The sequence below is a fragment of the Homo sapiens genome, chromosome 4, assembly GCF_000001405.40.
Source record: "Homo sapiens chromosome 4, GRCh38.p14 Primary Assembly".
NCBI lineage: Eukaryota > Metazoa > Chordata > Mammalia > Primates > Hominidae > Homo > Homo sapiens.
The window spans coordinates 55,426,479-55,446,016 of NC_000004.12; the positions used below are offsets into that span (position 1 = coordinate 55,426,479).

A 19,538-nucleotide genomic window follows, 5' to 3' on the forward strand; every position below is an offset into this window, starting at 1 on the left:
TCAGTCGTCACCCTCGTTTGAGTATATTTTGATTTGACTACTACTTCACCCAAGTAGCATAACAGCTGCTTTCTCTCAGCCTTTTATATTCTAGAATCATATGCAGTAACATTCCCATTAATAGCCTCACTAAATTGAAGGACAATTCTACAGAAACATCCATGTTATTTGTGTGAGGTATAATAGGAGACCCAGAGCAATTCAGGTTTATGAGCTACTACAAAGGTCCACAATGTAGTCTGCAATTTGAAGAGATTGTGAAAGAACCCAGTTAATCATCCAGCACTGTAGGATGCAGCAATTGTCCTACATGGTAACTCTGTGAGGAAGATGATAGCTACTACTGTGGAGATCTTAAGAGGAGTTTTCAGCTTAAATGCCAAGTTAGAAGTAGCACATGTTGGTAAAAAAGGTCATATTTGTAGTTTTCTGCTATAGGAAGTATCAAAGGGTAGAAAACAATGTCTGTGGATTAAGATAAACTCTGTGGTTAGACAGTCTATATTGCCTTAGATTGTTTGTTTGTTATAAAGAAAGAGTGAGGAATTCTCACTAGTATTTTTTTTTTTTTTTTTGAGAGAGTCTCACTCTGTCGCCCAGGCTGGAGTGCAGTGGTGTGATCTTGGCTCACTGCAACCTCCACCGCCCGGGTTCAAGCAGTTCTCCTGCCTCAGCCTCCCGAGTAGCTGGGATTACAGGCGTGCACTACCACGCCTGGCTAATTTTTTGTATTTTTAGTAGAGATGATGGAGTTTCGCCATGCTGGCCAGGCTGGTCTCGAACTCCTGACCTTATGATCCGCCCACCTCAGCCTCCCAAAGCGCTGGGATTACAGGCGTGAGCCACCATGCTTGGCCTACTAATACGTTTTGTTTGTTTGGAGACAATCTATCTCACTCTGTCACCTGGGCTGGAATGCAGTGGCGCAATCTCGGCTCACTGCAACCTCTGCCTCCTGAGTTCAAGCAGTTCTCCTGCCTCAGCCTCCCAAGTTGCAGGGATTATAGGTGCCCGCCACCACGCCTGGCTAATTTTTTTGTATTTTCAGTAGAGACAGGGTTTTACCATGTTGGCCAGGCTGGTCTTGAACTCATGACCTTAGGTGATCCACCCACCTCAGCCTCCCAAAGTGCTAGGATTACAGGCGTGAGCCACCGCACCCAACCGTTTTTTCTAATAACAACAGAAAAGACAATTCCTCGTAGGGAGTAGCTGGCACCATCATCGTGTAACCTCAGTTCAGGTAGCTTGGTCCCATTACTAGCTTCATATGCGAATAAGAACAGCATCGCATTCTGAGGCACCACAATCTTGTAGCAGGACATAATTCCTCTGAGAATTTTTGGTAAGTCAGACCTAAGCTATAAGGTAAAAATCGCTACTGCAATAGGCTCCATTGTTGAATAAAAGAAAGGGAAATGTCATTGATAGTGATCTTAAAATATTTAATAGTCTTTCTTTAAAATCCAAAATGTGATTCTTACAAGTTATGTGCCACATGAAGCAGGTGTTATTTTTTGAGAAATGCAGGTGATAACTGAAAAACATAGCACTGAGGTATTTTTTATTTTTAAAATTGAAGGAAACAAAGTCTGGATCTAATTATTTTTACATTTACAAAAACTGCTACTGCTTGGCTCTTTTGCTATAAGTTTAGGTTCTGAATACATGACAAGAGTATGGGAAAGAGCAGAATAATAGTACACGCAGTTTTAAAAGCTATGCACATCATAACCTGGAATAATGATTACACAGCAAGAGGCCTGAGTGGAGGTAGGCTAACAACACATTTTGACTTTCTCCTCAAAGGATAGCTTTGAAAAACAAGTGTAACCAATTGTTACACCAAATTAAAATGGCAATATTAAATCGGTAACAAAACGATCCACATTTTATACAATATTGTATTTCCAAACATACATAGGTCATGAAAATCAGAGAACCTAATATAGCACCGTTGAAACCATTCATTATCCTTCATGTGTGTATGCAATTCAGAATTTCGGCAGAAGACAACAAATGGAAAATGCCTTTCGTTTCTATAAATCATTTTGGATTTCAATTAAATCTTTGCCTTAGTAAAGGGTATTCTTATCTCAAGATCAATTAGCCGTTTTTAGCTCCACCGTTTTGGAAGTAAAAATGATGAGCTACATCTACTTTTTAATTTAAAACCAAGAACCAAGCAGTAAGGACAGCAATGTCAAGAATATCACATTGAGAACCACACAGAACATTATAAAGAATTTGGTGCATGTTTTAACAACTACCAACTGATGTTAACAATGAAAAATTTACAAAGGTAAAACTTTTTTTTTTTTTTTGCACTGACTGGTTTCAATACAGCACTGAATTTAACTCATCTTTGGGCTTCAATCTTTACATAGAGTGAATATGAAAATGCCATACTGAGGCCTTCCCCAACTTAAACCATAGTAAAGATTTCAAAATCATTCCAGTATGGTCTGAATGGTAACTGTTCTGGCTGACACATCTTTTTTTTTTTTTTTTTTTTTAAAAAGACATTTCCTGGCCAATTTTTTTGCTTGAAGATGATTGTCTGGTTATACAAGACATCAATCTGAAGGTAACAACTTATTTTAACTTAACTACTGGCATAACCATTGCCAGCAGTGAACTTGCACTAGTCCAAGCCAACTCAAAAACACACATTATAAACATTTGAATGTCATTTTTAAAAGCGATGTCACAGTTTGTTTCCTAAGAAATTTAAAAGCTTTTATTTGAAAACGTATCTTCAGTTTAACCCTCAGAGTTAAGAAATATTTTTTAGATCATTAAATTCAATTGTGGTTGACGTGCTTTAACTACCGTTCTCTAAGTTGTGTGCTATACCTAGCCTGTGGGACTCCATAGCTTCTCTGAGTCCTAAAGTGGAGGATTCTGTTCCAATGCTTGTGAGCAAGAAGGATCCTCAAATGTCTAGGTTTCCAATATTCCAACACTGCTTTACTGGGCAGTGCTGTGTATGGAAGTTTTGTTTTGTTTTCAAAGGACCAAGTAACTTGACACCATATTAAAGACAGCAAACATTTTTTGTAGAAGTTTACAGCCTGTATACATTATTCCGCCAAATTTAAGAACTTTAAATGGATTTTAATATGGATATGATAATGACAGCCATTAAAAGATGCTATTTCTTTTACTAACATTTCCCCAAATGGGCAAAATAGAGGCATCATGTGCCATTGGTTCTGTCATACTGGCCTTTGACTGTGTTGGGGAAGTAATCACACAAAAAGTGCCCATAAAACAAAGAAGGCAGCAAGTGAAACTAGAAAAAGGTTGGAACTGTATGAATCAGATTTGAAAGGAGTTATTTCTAAAATTCTTTCTTAGATGACTTGAGGAGGGAAGTGCAGGGGCATCTGGAGTTGGCCCCTCCACTGCCGTCCTGAAGTAAAGTAGATTCAGACTGTCCGTAAAGATTATCATGAGAGTTGGTGACTGCACCCCAAATCAGAGCCAGTTCCCTAAGAAGAATATGGTGCAAAACAAAACAAACCACACATTAAATACATGACACCGAAATCACTTTGATGAGAAAACAGAACACACAGGTATTTTAAAATATAAATAAATACATTTAGCCATTTTTATTCAAGAACCCCAGAGAACTGCTTTAAAAGCAATTGCTTCTTTGAACCCCTTTCTAAATTCTTTCATAAATACTTACTAGTTTGATTGTCACTTAATGCAGCACCTCAGTGTTTGCTGGTGGTGGTGATGGAATTTCACTTAGTTGTCTCTCCATAAACTATATCCTATTCCACTAAATAATGTTTCCCTGAGGAAACCCAGGCAGCTTACAAAATACTGTTATAAACACTCACAACAAAACCTGCAGAGTATTTTATTTAAGAAAAACAAGGAATGTAGTGTTATGACATAGGGGGAAAAAACTATGCAAAACAGTCACATGGAAAGAAAGTATTTTAATTTTTAAAATCCAAGTTTGCTTAATTTCTTGTGAACTGTTCAACACTGTTTTAAATATCCTGAATAACTGTGCCAACAAAATTCATCCCCAGTGTTTCCACAGGAGACATTAAAATTAAAGACCAAATTATACTATTTTTTTCCTTTAACCAAAGTATTCTTTTTCTCAGTCCTTTTTGTGCAAAAATATTACAAGAGCAATTCAAATGGAAATGCTGAAATGACATGCCAACATTTCAGGGCACATTTAAAACACTCAGAATAATTCTTGAAATTATTATATTCTAAAATGTTACTAGCAATCACTTTTAGATTAGTTCTGTACATCTACTCACACGGATGCAATTTTCCTAGACCTCTGAAAAATAAACAGGCTCATTGGTCTCTTTTGGTGTCCACACAATAGGCAAGATAGGTTTACAATAGTGTTTAAATCAAACTAGGCATCTACAATCTCTTGACTCCACCACATTCAAAACAAAAATCAAAGTTCATTTGGCTATCTTGAAATCACTCCCATAAACCAACTACGGTTCACTGGACCTAAACATTTCTCAGAAATGTGTCATTTTATATAATTTCACCTAAGTAAGTGATGATTTGGGGATCCTTTAGAAATGGTTAACGCCTAAGAATAAACTTTATCAAAATGAGTAATTGCAATAAAGTGCTTGTTACATTTCAAAATGATGCTTTTAGACTGTGGTATGTTGTTTTAAAAGTGTGTGCTATTCCTTCCGTAAAGGATCCCCAGGCATGAGAGTTGGGTCTTCTCACCTGTCTCATAAAGCAGCAGCACTATCTTTTGGTAGGCTGACAATAGGCACATTACCCATGCGGATGAGGCTATACTAGTGCTATGGCAAAAGGGGAAGTAAATTAGAAAAGTGGGAGGCATGTAGAGGGTTCCTATTATAGTTATATACAAATATATTAAATATACTATAAAAATAGTCGATTCTATTCCTTTGCAATTACTTCAGAAGCTCCTTTTAGAAGAAAGCTCACCCAATCCAAACTTAAAAGGTTCTCTTTCTCCAAACACTTAAAATGGCAAGTGCCTTTGTGCTGTTTCTTCTCTACCATTCAAAAATTCCAATCAGCTTGTCCTGGCTAGAAAGACTCACTCAGCAACATTAATATCCAGTGTTTACCCCCTTCCAACAGGGACTCCTGTGGGACTAAGGGCCACAGGTAATTGGAAAGGTTATAGACTTGAATGCGTTTTACACAAATATTCATCAACAAACTTTCAATTACCAAAGAAACAGAAAGAAAAAAGCAGAAATACTAAAGTAAAATGCTATTTGCATTCCACTTTTAAAAAGTTTGCCTCAATGTAGTGGAAACATCTGAAAACATGTTGAGTAATATCCAGTTTAAAAGAATTTTCACTTGTCTGCGTAGAGTACTATTTTAAGGATCCCTTTCTAAGGCTTCCTGAACAAGGGTTCTTCTCCCTTCAACAGTGCTCTTGATGGAGCTGGACTGCTTCAGTGCTCCTAGCGTCAAGCAGACTGCTTTAAGGCAATGACCAACAACTACAGCACTTCTGAAGACCAAACATTTTCACTATTTTGCACTGAATGTTCTATAACAAACTATTCCAAATCACTGGCATCTTGTTATTACTATTCCATTCCTAAGCCAGATATAAATGACAAAGGAGAGCACAGCACTGTCAAGTTACCCCCGGAATTTGGGATGCTCGAAGGCTAGACCGTAGTATTTACTCACATGCTACCTGCATCTCCCATACTTTTCTCCAATATTTTCCATTCAAAAAATGAAGTACTTTTTAAGTGTCTCGGTTCTGGTTTGACACCACTCTAAGGAGCAACTTTATTAACCCTTCTAGTTCTCACTTGCATTTGTTAAACAATACTGACTCTCCCAAAACTATGATAACTGCAAGTCCAAAGCACGGTAACTGCAGAGTAGCTAGCATTTTTCCTGAAACTCAGTAGTTTCTTACCTAAAAAGTACCACCCAGAATAAGTGTTTTTAAGAAAGTGAGAATAAAGCAGAGGGAAGACTTTTTTTTTTTTTTTTTTAAAGCTGGAAGGTGTTTCTATTTGGTATCTTTAAATGCTATAGATTTGGGATTTTAACTAACAGCTTTGGCTATAGAAATGAAGAACAGACACTGCTGAATCTTCATTTGAATGCTCAAGTTTCATGGGGCAGGGTGGGGGGCGGGATAGCTTTGCAACCCAAATTTAAGAGAATCAGGAGGAAAACAAAGCAGCAAAGAGGCAGCTGGTGCTTACTACCTCTTCCACTACTACGCTTCAGACTGACAGAAAAGCAGCTAGCTGCTCCTTTAAATTAGCAATGGTTAATTCTAAGCAGGAAAAGATGAGCTGCGAAGAACAGTAAGAATCATAAAGGAAAATTTTAATTTTTTCCCCCGACTATTTGTGGAGATGGGAAATAATTGAAGGGGCTGGAGTAGGACAATGTGAGTAAACAGTTTAGACGTTTACCTGGGGCTTGTCTTATGCTTTGTTGCTGTCAACCTAAGTAGTACTCACAGTTCACCATCTTTTAAGTGTGGTATGTAGAGGACAGGCCTCAATATAATAGTTCTTCATATCTTTTGTTAGCTAAATCCGTATCACTAGGTATTGCCAATAAATAAATGAGGCACAACTCAGATATATATGGAATGGCATAAGGTCAAGAAAGGCAATTTGAAAGGGGAGAAGAACAATGCTATTGCCATATTCCACAACATCCCCCTTGTCTGTGTACATATGCTCAGGTACATACATATTCTGACAACTATTCTTGATATTCATGGGAATGTGGGAAATCTCTACTGGATGGTCATTTAGCTAGAAGAGCTCCTTGATATGTTAATTACTGATTGATATCTAGTCACACTTCTTTTGTAGAAGGGTAAGTACCAATTTTCTTTGGTTGTTTTCTTTTTCAACATTAATGTTCAAAGTAATTGTAGCCAGGTAGAATTTTCTGCAGAAAGACAAAGTATATGCCTTAAGGATAACAGCAAAGCAGAGGACAGAGAAGTCTTAAGAACTGGCTTAGCATTCCCCTGACCTCTTTACCTAGCAATTCTGCATTAGGTTAATCTTCATTATTCAGAACCTTTTCTGTTTTAACAACCTCAACTCTGTTACACATTTTCTTTTGAGGTCAATTTTGATTTATTACACTTGTCCTCTCCTCCCTTTCCTCAGTAATAACATTTTTTATATTCTAATAATGTATTTTCTACTAATCCTCTTTTGTTCTATCACTGTAAATTTCATTAGTACCATAAAATCTGTAAAATGTTTTTTAAATGTATGTAACTTGTATTGGAATTTATTACTTTTAGAATATGATATTGCCAAAGGAAATCTTAGTTCACGTTTAGAAGGCATGTGAGTTACAATATTCTAATGTTGTAGTGAAGGCATAGCCAAATCCCTACCCCTTCTTTTTTCTTTGTAGGAATATCAAGATCATATTGAGCAAATATTTCTGGTAAATTCTTAAATGACTAAAGAAAAATGCTGATTTAGGAAACAATTTTAGGATCACATTAATAACTATGATAGTGTTAGGTTATCATCTTTTATTTCTAAATTATTTGTACCTCCAGTCCAAGAGACTGATAGCAGTCTTCAGAGGAACTTATTAGGAGACTAATAATGACACTGACACCCACATGCTGTTAAAAAGGTACTAAGGTTTCAAAACTGCTACGGAAACCGGACAATGACTTCAAGATGGTGAGTTATCACCTGAATTAAAATCAAGGCACTATGGGGTTTTTTCCCCTCAAATAACCCTGAATCATTTCTGACTAAAAGAAGCATTGAAATTGTGAAGGATAATAAAAAAGATTTCAACAAATCCCAAAAGTTAAAATTCCCATGATTGAGAATGTTAAAAAGTGCCTAAGATGTTTTGTGTGCAAATTTTACCTCTATAACTGAAACATTCTTGAAATTACTTTCAGGCTTGTTGAAAACCATTTACGCAAATATTTCCAACTATGAACTATAACAAAATATGCAATCAAAACTCCCAGCCACCTAAAATAAAGCAGTGCAAATCCTATTTTCAAACATAATTGAAAAATAATGAAATGAGGGATATTTCTGAATAACTTGAAAATCCTGTTGTATCAATAATTTAACCTGAAAAAAAAAATCCATTCCCAGCAGCACATCATACCTCACTGAACAAACTGTGACATCACAGCCAAAGTATGAACAAAAAAACTTGTGCCCCGGAAAAGTGAACAGAACACTACTGTGTTGTAAACAAAAGGAAAAACAGGATGGATCAGTTTGCACATGGTGTCAGAATTTCAGGAAAGGTGCTCACACCTGTAAGGAAGAGATAACGCTTTCATGCAGCATACAAAATGTTTTGCTTTCTCTCCTTTTATCTAGACATATACATATTTTTACATCATCTGTACATAGAGAATTTGAACCCACACAACATTCTGAAAGTAATTACTGTTCCATCATTATCTGAAAAGGGAGAGGGGTTGGGGGAGGGGGTCGCTACCAAGTCTACTGGACTGTCTTCATGGCATCACTGTAAGCAAACCCCTGACATGGCAGTGGTATGTCCTCTGTAACACTTGATAAGAGGCACAGAACCACTAAAAGTTACTAACATCATTAGTGCCTTTCTGATTCCCTGGAGGTCATTTCATAGCTGAGCTTCTTAATATTTGGCAATATATTCTTTTTCCATCAAAAAATATCCAGGCACCTAAAACACTGTCAGAACTGGCTATGCCCCTATGATCACCTCCTGCTGGCTGGTATTTAATGTACATCTGTAGCACTAGGCAGCATTTTCTCTGCCAACTAATTCCAGGAACTAGAACACTCAATACTGCATCTCATGAAACTGCTGGAACTTTCCCTCCTTTCCTCAGGTCATCTGAGTAACTCTTAATGGGCCATCCCCTTCCTCCCTTGATGTCAAGAGAGGAAGCACGTGTGCTACTGTGGTTGAACCTTGGAAGGGTCGGGCAAGCTGTCAGTCCTGTGCCGGCTGAGTTGCTGCTGTTGCTGAGACTGATGTTGCTGGTGATGTGACTGAGGGAAGGTGCTCTGTTGTAGAGGAAATGCAGCAGAGAGAATGAGTTGAGTTGAGGGATTCCCATGGAGCAACCTAGAAGTCTAAAAAACAAATGGATTATGCAGCATTGCTTTACTCCCTTTATGGCACCCACATAATAGTTACTCACACTCTCCCCTGTCCATAGGGACAAAATCCTTAAAATTCTACATAATGCATATCACTTTCACTCTCTGGTTTAAAAATTCTAATTTGGAAAATGCTTATGAGGCCTTCCCTCTTTCTGAAAGTATGAGAGAGTTTCATTTTTTAAAGGAATCTGAGCTACAGATTTTATGGTATAGAAAGCAATCTATATCTTGAGCCAAATCACACACGTTCTTTCACTTTATGTCCTAAAGACCCATATTTTAAATTACAAAATTTGAGCATAGTTATGACTATATGAAAAACAAATACTCTGAGGCCAGACAGACAATGCCTTCTGCACACAGGTTCGCTCAGCTGGTTAGAGCGGCACAGTTAAGTGGCCAGGAGCGTGGTGGGCCCTGAGGTAGACTGAATGGTTCAAACTTGGGCTGCCCTACTTACCACATGTGTGACTTGGTCAAGCTGTTTACTTCTCTGGGCCTCAGTTTCTTTCTTTAGAAAATAGGAATAACAGTGCCTACCACATTGGGTTCTTAATAAAGATTAAATATTAATATTATTTAAAAGCATCATAAATATGAAGGCAAAGTTGCAGCCTTAGGTCCGATAAGCAGCAGTGTGGTATAAAGACAGACAAACAAAACAAAATGAAAAAAGGCACAGGATTTGCAGACAGAAGCCCTGCATTTGAGTTTTGCTCTGCCATTTACATAAGTAAGCTGTGTGACTCTGGGCAAGACTCAAATAGATGAGCCTCTGTTCCTTTCACCAAATTTGTACTTCTGACATGCTGTTCATTAATGTAAAACTCTCAGATACAAAAAAATGTTAACAGAAAGAAAGTGAATTTTTACAATGAAAGTCCTTTCCCCATTACTGACAGTACAACTTGATGCAGGGTTCTTAATTTCAAAATGGAGCTGTGGTGGGCAATTTTTGCAAATGTATATGAAAGAAACATGCACAAACACACACACAAAAGAGCAAATCCCTGACAAACCTTAAAGACTACTACACTTTGTCAAGGATCTTCAGAGTTTTCTTTCTCTCTTTGTTATTAGGAAAAGCTGTGTAAGGCAAAGACTTGATACTTATGAGCCTTATAAGATTACAACAGGAGCATGTTTTAAAACTAGGTATTACATAATTTAGAAAAGCCAAATTGTGTATTTATTACCTACATACAAGTGTATTTATGAGGGGTATTGCCTATCTTATTTCTTTGTGGGTCCTATGTCTTTGGGATGCCTTTTTTTTTTTTTTTTTTTTGAGAATGTTTATTCTTTTAAGGGCCTTTGTTCCTTGACATACTTAGAAGACTGAGATGTTAAGGCAGGTCCTCTCCTTTTTTTAGCTTATGCTTAATTCTCATTGGATACATTTTCCCTACATAATAATTTAGAACTTGTTTTAAATTGTTGTTATTTCTTTATTTGTAATAGTAGCTACCCCAGTTATGTCTGCAGCATAGGCTTAAGGTCTAAAAGACTGTATGACTCTCAGATATTTAGGCAACTAGCCTGTTTTAGTTTTCTACATCACAAAGACAAGGATTATATTTGGACCAGGACACAAAGGGTGACAAATTAAGACTATATTTATGCCTGAATATAGAGTACAATAATCACATCACATGTTATATAACCCAGAAATTGATGATAAGTGCCCAGCCTAGATGAAGTGGTCTCTAGTACACATACAGACTAGCCTACATTCAAAATTGCTCCAGCTAGGCCAGAAGGGGAAAAGGTAGATTTCTAGTGAGGATCCTGAGGTCCAGATAAGGGTTTTGTACATTTCTCTGCTGAGGATCTTGCCTAGTGACTTTCTTCTGTATCCTATAGATAAGGAGAGCCTGTCTGATTCACTAAATGATATCTGTGTCTATATTTTGGCTAATCCAAGTGTCTATTACATTTGTCAATATAGCGGTCACAAATAACAGCTAGCCATGTGCCTTGTCTTATATTCAGTGATTTACAAGCACTATTAATCCATGAGGTATCAATTATTATGACCTCCACTTTACACGTGACGTTTACCAAGAGTAAGCAACCTGCCAAAGGTCACGCAGTACGTGGTGCAGCAGTGACTCAACCCCAAGGCAGCTAGACTTTACAGCCCAAGTTCTTAGCTATACATATACTTAGCTCATAGATATACTACACCTCCATGGTATTTCTCCTCTGATATTAATTTACAACTGAAAAATTATAATAAGATTGAATTCAACAAAATAATTTAAGGTAACACCTATACTAGTAAAAAGAAATCCCTGCTCTGTACAGAGCAGAGTTTATGGTTGGCTAGAAAAAGGAGGAAAGAGGTGCTTGCTTAAGTTCCAGAAACTCTAGCCAGAGACTAAGAAAACAGGTGGGCAGGAAGTAGGCCACTCACTCTGTCCAGCAGTTCTGATAACTGGGTATGCCCAATGGCACGTCTAAAGTCTTCCAACGACTGAGCAAGGGAAGAAAAAAAATCGCCAACCAGAACAAGCTTTCTATCTTTGTAGAGATTTAAACTGTACAATAAGCTTTTGTGAATTTTTCACATCACTCACAAATCTGTTCACTTAATGCTTAATTTCATTACATGAAAGTAAATGAGTTTGAAGCAGCTTCCCCATGGGGAGAATTACCTGTAAAAATTGTTGCGGTGGCTGGGTCAGCTGAGCCTGAGATGGTTGCTGAACTGAAGTGAGCTGCTGCTCCTGGGAGCTCTGCTGCTGCTGCTGCTGCGTTACTGACAATGTCTGTGACTGTTGCTGTTGTGTAGCAAAAGTAGGATATGCAGTCACCACCTGGCCCATAAGCATAGTACTAGGTACCATGACTGCCCCACAAGCTACAGGAGCAGTCACTAATTTGGTCACAAGTTGTTGACCTTGAGAAAATCTGTTAGAAGAAAGAAGGAAAAAAATTGGAGTCCAAAGTACAAGGTATACATCATAAAACGCAGTGGAGTAAATACTTACCTAAGATAATACCCAATGACATTGCCAGTTTGTTTTTCAAGGTCTGTATATTCCTACTTTGTTTCATTTTAAAAGATTCCCTTTGGTGTAACAGTAAAACAAAAAATTCATACAGCAAGATCAATGTGTAACAAAAATACAAAACGTCTTTGGATATCCACATTCAAAAGAATAAAGTTAGATCCTTACCTCACATCACAGACAAAGATTAACTTGAAATGGACCAAAGACCAAAACATAAGAGCTAATGCTATAAAACTCTTAGAAGAAAACATAGGGGAAAAGCTTCATGACATTGGATTTAGCAATAGTTAGCAGCTGGAATTAGCAATAATTTCTTGGATATGATACCAAAAGTACAGGCAACAAAAGAACAGATAAACAGATAAACTGGACTGTATCAAATTAAAAATCTTGTGAATCAAAGGGCACTATCAACAGAGTAAAAAGGTAACTGTCCCATCCCACAGATGGGAGAAAATATCTGCATATCATCCTTCTGATAAGGGATTAGTAACCAGAATGTCTAAGAGCTCCTTCAACTCAACAACAATCAACCCAATTAAAAAAATGGGCAAAGGTCAAACTTGAACAAACACTTCTCCAAAGAAGATACACAAATGGCTAATAAGCACATGAAAAGGTGCTCCACATCACTAATCATTAGGGAAATACAAATCAAAACCACAACAAGAGGCTACTTTATACCCATCAGGATGGCTATTATAAAAAACAAACAACAATAGAAAATGACCAGTGTTGGCAAGCAAGTAGAGAAACCTTGTGCAGTGCTGGTGGGAATGTAAAAATGGTGCAGCCACTATGGAAAACAGTATGCAGTTCCTCAAAAAATTCACTATAGGATTACTATATGAAGGAATTCCACTTCTGCTTATATAACCCCCCAAAATGAAAGCAGGGACTCAAAGAGATATTTGTACACCCATAATCATAAGCAGCATTATTCACAGGAGCCAAAAAGTGGAAGTAACCCAAGACTCCATTGACAGACGGAATGAATAAGCAAAACATAGTAGAGTAGAATATTACTTAGCCTTAAAAAGGAAAGAAATTCTGACAATTGCTGTAACATGGATGAACCCTGAGAACATTATCCTAAGTAAAATAAGCCATTCACAAAAGGACAAATACTGTATGATTCCATTTATATGAGGTACTTAGACTAGTCCAATTTACAGGGACAGAAAGTAGAATGGTGGTTGGGGAGAGAAGAATGGGGACTTGTATAATGGGTATGGAGTTTCTGTTTGGGAAGATGAAAAAAGTTCTGGAAATGGTTAGGGGAGATGGTAACAATCGTACTCAGTGACAATGAACTGTATATTTTAAAACGGTTAACATGGTAACTTTTATGTCATTTGTATTTTTCCACAATAAAAATTTTTTTTAATCTATAAAAAAAAACCTTTTTCTTTTTATAAAATTACTAGGTACTAGGGGTGTCAGATATATGTGGCACATGATTCATCTGCTACACTGGCACACAGTTCATGAATAAACAAAGCTATTATAATGTATTTTTTAAACTCTAGGTTTATAGAAGAAATTTACACAAAATTGTAGCTTACAAATTTAATTCAAAACCAAATGACATTCTAACAGTGAATAAAAACTCCTCTCAATTTATAAATTCATCAACGCAGCATAGCGTCCTCTGTGCTAGAATTCATTAATTTTTCCCTCTTTCCCTGCTTCCTTTTGCTTTTTGAAATGAAAGAACAATAACCCCAAAAAAATGATGCTTCTTTGTGGAACAATATTATTTCCATTTGCCTTTTCTGTGAGATGAAGTTTATAACATTGGTCATTACAGTGAGATATGACACTAACATAGATGTGGCATGACATAACTGTATTTACAAACTGTTTATGTAACAATATTACACTTAGTACAGATCTTGACAATAAAATACTCTATTTTATACACTACACAACCAAATACTTTAATGCAAAACAAAAAAGAATTAAAATTGTCCATATTAAGAAAGTCCAAAGAAATAAGTAATATTTACAAAGTACACTTAGTCACAGAAGTACTAAGTGCTGATTTCTCCATAATCTTAAATTAATACCTGAATTAGCCCATGGCTCACTGGTAAATGTGATAAGAATATTTTCTTTAATCTGCTTTCGTGTAACTCACACTTCTGCAGCTTTGTATACTCTGGGCTCCCTCTGCCCAGAATGCCTCCCTAGACTCCATGCCACACCCACATCCAAAGCCAAGCTCAAGTCTTGAAGAGTCAGGGCAAGTATCTCTGCCTTGGTGAAGCTTTCCTGACCACACCTTTATTCACCTGCTTGCCTCAACCCATGAAACTGCTTACAAAAACAAAACAAAACAAAACACAACACAACAAAAAACTGCTCACTTCCTCCTTTCTAAAGACCTCTGAAGTATTCATCACCCCAAACAATACCGATTTATCTTTCTATTGCTTTTACTAGTTTGGTCTTTCCCTTGGGGAAGGAACGATGCCATACTCATCTAGGTAGGCCTTCAAATGTTTGCTAAGATGTGGTTTCTGTCCCCCTCAAAAGATAGATGTTCAGGGAAACTCAACTTAAAACCACAATTAAATATCACCTTACCCAGCCAGACTGGCCATTACTAAAAAGTCAAAAAACAATAATGTTGGCACAGATGTGGTGAAAACACTTACACACTGCTGGTGGGAACGTGAGATTTCTCAAAGAACTAAAAGTAGATCTACCATTTGATCCAGCAATCCCACTACTGGGTATCTACCCAAAGGAAAAGAAGTCACTGTATCAAAAAGACACCTGCATACATATGGCTATCGCAGTACAGTTCACAATTCCAAAGATATGGAATCAACCTAAGTGCCCATCAACCAATGAGTGGAGAAAGAAAATGTGGTATGTATACACCATGGCCTACTACTCAGCCATAAAAAAAGAAAAAATAATGCATTTTGCAGCAACTTGGATGGAGCTGGAGGCCATTATTCTAAGTGAAGTAACTCAGGAATGGAAAACCAAACACCATATATTCTCACTTGTAAGTGGGAGCTAAGCTATGGGTACAGCAAAGGCATACAGAGTGATATAATAGACTTTGGAGGAGGATGGTGGGGGTGAGGGATAAAAAACTACATATTGGATAGAATGTGCACTACTCAGGTGATCAGTGCACTAAAATAAGTTATAGATGGTTGTTTTTCCAGAGCAGTCCACAAAACCTTCCTGTAATATATGCTTAAGCACTCAAGCACTGAAATGAAGACACCAAGGTCTGTGTTCAGAGTTCCCTTCCTCATCACCTTAACTAGCTATAGATCCCTTGGCTAATTACTGAAAACTCACTTTTTTCTTATCTGGGAAATAAAAGGAGGCCCTCACATACATTTTCTTTTAATAAATGACTATTTGAGATAATATATTTTGAGCATTTAACAAACTTAAAAAAGGTAAGCTACCCTAACCACTGTTACTACATGGAAATTCTCTAGCATCTATATTGAAAAGACAAAAGCTTCACAGTGACACAGAGCCTGTCATAAACCTTTTCTAACAGTGTGCTGCAGAATTTGTATTCTATAATATTTTGTAGCATATTTTTGGACAAGAAAAAAAATTTGTTGTTACCCTTTAATTATGAAGTCTTTAAACAATGAATACATTCAGTGTTTTTATTTCAAATTTAAGAACATTGGCTGCAGTGAGCATCTCATTAAAATCACATTAAAAAATTTGATTAAGAAATCAAATTATTGTTTTCTAATCAATCGGTTTACAATTTTAAAAATAACAAATGAAATATGACAACTACCTTATCTGCCTGTCCTGAGTGAATGTAGTTACTGCAGCACTCTGGGTGCTGTTTTGTGGCATACTAGATGGAATCTGGACCATGCTTCCGGCTGCAGGCTGAGAAATCACCATAGTGTTATACAGTGGGGCTGTAAGAGTGCTCTGTGTCTGACTGGGTAGAGATGTTTGCTGACTGTGCCCACTCAGTACATTTTGTTGACTCTGTTAAAAATAAAGAGATTTTATAGACAGATTAACTGAAAATAATTATTTGGGAAGTATGCTAGAATTCATCATTCTAACAATATGACAATATGACAGAGAAAGAAGTGGCAGGATATATTACTCTGGGGGAAATATAACCACAAAGGAATGACTCGTGGTAACTGAGAATGAATTAGTCTTGAATATCTTGCTGGAAGGCAAGCTATGACTTTAGAAAGGAGTGTGATTGTAATAGAGATGATATAAAATATACTCAAAGAATTTCTGTTAAATGCCCAAAGTGAATGACTAATTAGTGGGCATTTTTCTATTTTTCATTTAAATCCTTGGGATTTACAGTCACAGATCTACAGTAATTACCAACATTTTCTGGAATATTCAATAAACCATTATGCCCCCTCCCCCAACAGTCTATTCTGCACATATGGGAACAGGCTTCCTGGTCAGCCTCTTGAGCAAGTCATACCTTTTAAACACAGAAATAGTCTAAGTTACAAGAACTTGGTATAACTACTAGACTACATCTTTAAACAGATTGTGACATATTTTAAAGCTCAGCCAGGCGCAGTGGCTCACACCTGTAATCCCAGCACTTTGGGAGGCTGAGGTGGGCGATCACCTGAGGTCAGGAGTTTGAGATCAGCCAGGCCAACATGGTGAAACCCCATCTCTACTAAAAATATGAAAATCAGCCTGGCATGGTGGTGGGTGCCTATAATCCCAGCTACTCGGGAGGTTGGGGCAGGAGAATCGCTTCAACCCAGGAGGCGGAGGTTGCAGTAATCTAAGGTCACGCCATTGCACTCCAGCCTGGGCAACAGGAGCAAAACTCCGTCTCAAAAAAAAAAAAAGAAAAAAAAAAGCTGAAAATATTTGATACTAACATGATTTGCACAAAATATTTTAATAATCACTCTCAATACTATACTTTCTAAATACTATTAAATTTTGAAATGATATTTTATCATTAGAGCTTTATTTCTGCTTCAGCAATAGTGTGCCTTCCAACCACTGATCACTCCATAGCCCGCTGTGCTCAGTAACATTACCTGAGTTGATGTACTCTGTAAAGTCTGTTGTTGTATCATGTGCTGAGTTGTGCCAATGTGTCCAGTATTCATTCCACTTTGAATCTGGTTAGTAGGAACAACTTGGCCTTGCATATTTATAGGTGCAAGTTGCTGGATATTAGATGAATTTCCAGAAGAAAGTTGAACGGAACCAAAATTCAACCCAGGATTTGATTGTTGCAAAAACATCTTTAAAAATAAAGATTATGTTAAAATGAGCTTTGTAGATTGAAAAGAAGAATGAGCATTAAAAAGAAGGCAAAATCAAGCTACAAAGTATGTTTAAAAAGCAAGTAACAAGGCTAAGTCACTTTGAAGAATTAGCAATAAATAAGTAGTGAATAAAATATGAAACTTTATATTCAATCTTTCAGTTATCTTGTTTCCAATTGTTAGAAAAAGTGTAACTAGTGTTAGTCTGTGGATTGACAGCTCTGTATCACTTATCATTTATAATTTATAACATCACACAGAAGTAGTTTTCACTCCAAGTTTCCCTTTACCAAAGTCATAGTCTCCTAGAGTGGTCCTGCTGGTTGGTCATATAAGACTAATTTGAATCATACATACTGGTATCTTAATAAAAATATTACTGATGATTGATTTATAAATTCTGTACCCAAGATGTACCTAAAACTTTATGTAAAATATAATTTTTATATTATGGATTCAAACTTACTAAAATTTGGACTGGTAAAAAAAGATGACTGGAGAAACAAGGATGTTGACAGAAATACCCTCAGAAACAAATTATCTTTAGAGACTGTAAGTATAATCATACTGAGTAGGTAACCAGTGAATATTTATTGAACTGAATTGATAAAACGTATCTCTTGCATCTCACTTTTAATTAAGAAAAGTTAATTTTCCTAGAAATCCAAAATGTGAATGGGATGCTTTGTTTGTATTCAAATATAACAATTACCTGCAGCCCCTGACCATGGACCATCTGAAGTTGTTCTTGAATTTTTCTTAGTTCTTCTTGTTGCCGATGAATATTTGCTTCTATCATGCGTGTCCGTTGTTCCAATTGGTCTTTCAGATGTTGCATGGCTCCTAATTGAGCTGAAAACTGAAACTGAAGTACCATGTACGGAAAAAGTGTAATATATTTTAGAATTACTTACTCCTTATAATTGCACAACATGAAAAGTAAGCAGTATAACATGAGTGAAGGATGATAACATCCTTCACTAGTTATGTCCCTTAGTTTCTAATCCACCCATCTTTGCTCTGCTTTGTAATATTGGACCTGGACCTTCAAAATATTTCTCCTTTGCCAGCAGGCACAAAGTTATCCACATCAGTAGGTGGTGCTGGAGGGACACTGCCAAGAAAGTGCTCAACTCCTGGTTCTGGTGCTTCTTGCTCTTATGTCAGGGTGCCAACGGGAAGCTTTTAATATTTTCTCAACCACGTTTAACATATGATATGGTCTGGTTATTGTTAATTTCTGAAATCAAAGTTGTGTGCCCTGAAATGTAATTTAGTATCCCAAATACAAACTATTGAAGATAGAGTTAAAAAGCTTTGGATGGGAAGGACATTTCTCACTTTTACATACACCTGCCCCGGCAGGTGGCTTTCCAGCAAGTCTCAATGACATCCTAGTGGGCAGCTTCCCTGCAAGCTTTACCAGTACCCCAGCTGATGGCTTCCAGCTCTCTACCTCTAATCTGTGGCATGTCAGTGAACTTCTCTATTATCCAGTTGCTATAGCCACATTTGCCCCAAGAAGATCTGCATCTTAGCCTGGCATGGGGGAAGAGGAGGTTAGGAGCTTGTGGGGAGTCTTCTAAGTATGTTCCTTCCTTGGGTACTCTCCATCTACCTTACAGCTAGTGGTTGCTCTCTGCATCTGCTATTTCTATATTCTTTTTTTTTTTTTTTTTTTTTTTTTTGAGACAGGATCTCACTCTGTCACCCAGGCTGGAAAGCAGTGGTGCGATCATGGCTCTCTACAGCCTTAACTTTCTGGGTTCAAGAGCTCCTCCCATCTCAGCCTCCCCAGTGGCTGGGACTACAGGCATGCACCACCACACCTGGCTAACATAAAAATGTATTTTCTTGTAAAAATAGGGTCTTGCTATGTTGCCCATGCTGGTCTTGAACTCATTGGCTCAAGAAGTCCTCCTACTTCGGCCTTCCAAAGTGCTAAGAATACAGGCATGAGCCACCACACCCAGCTTTATTCCTATATTCTTTAGGTTCTCTTTACTTCTTTTAGGAGTTAATCCGTGTTACCAGTTAATAATTTTTTATATTATTCCTGTTCAAATTTCTGGTATGCTTCTGGCTTCTGACTGGAT

At 37.2% G+C, this 19,538-nt stretch overlaps 2 protein-coding genes across 18 annotated transcripts in view; one reads left to right on the top strand and one right to left on the bottom strand.

Moving 5' to 3' along the window:
* Nucleotides 1-19,538, top strand: part of TMEM165 (transmembrane protein 165) — a 57,441-nt gene that overhangs the window by 30,522 nt on the left and 7,381 nt on the right. The gene's annotated exons all lie outside the window — the stretch shown is intronic.
* The window catches only part of CLOCK (clock circadian regulator), a 119,007-nt gene continuing 100,893 nt past the window's right edge, over nt 1,425-19,538 (bottom strand). For all 17 annotated transcript variants that reach the window (XM_011534410.3, XM_047416432.1, XM_047416436.1 and 14 more), the window contains 5 exons: nt 18,155-18,307; nt 17,209-17,418; nt 15,954-16,156; nt 11,804-12,059; nt 1,425-9,116 (listed from right to left, as the gene is read on the bottom strand). In XM_011534410.3, coding sequence (XP_011532712.1) covers nt 8,937-9,116; nt 11,804-12,059; nt 15,954-16,156; nt 17,209-17,418; nt 18,155-18,307 — 1,002 coding nt within the window. In that variant the 3' untranslated portion in view covers nt 1,425-8,936. The remainder of the gene's footprint in view (nt 9,117-11,803; nt 12,060-15,953; nt 16,157-17,208; nt 17,419-18,154; nt 18,308-19,538) is intronic.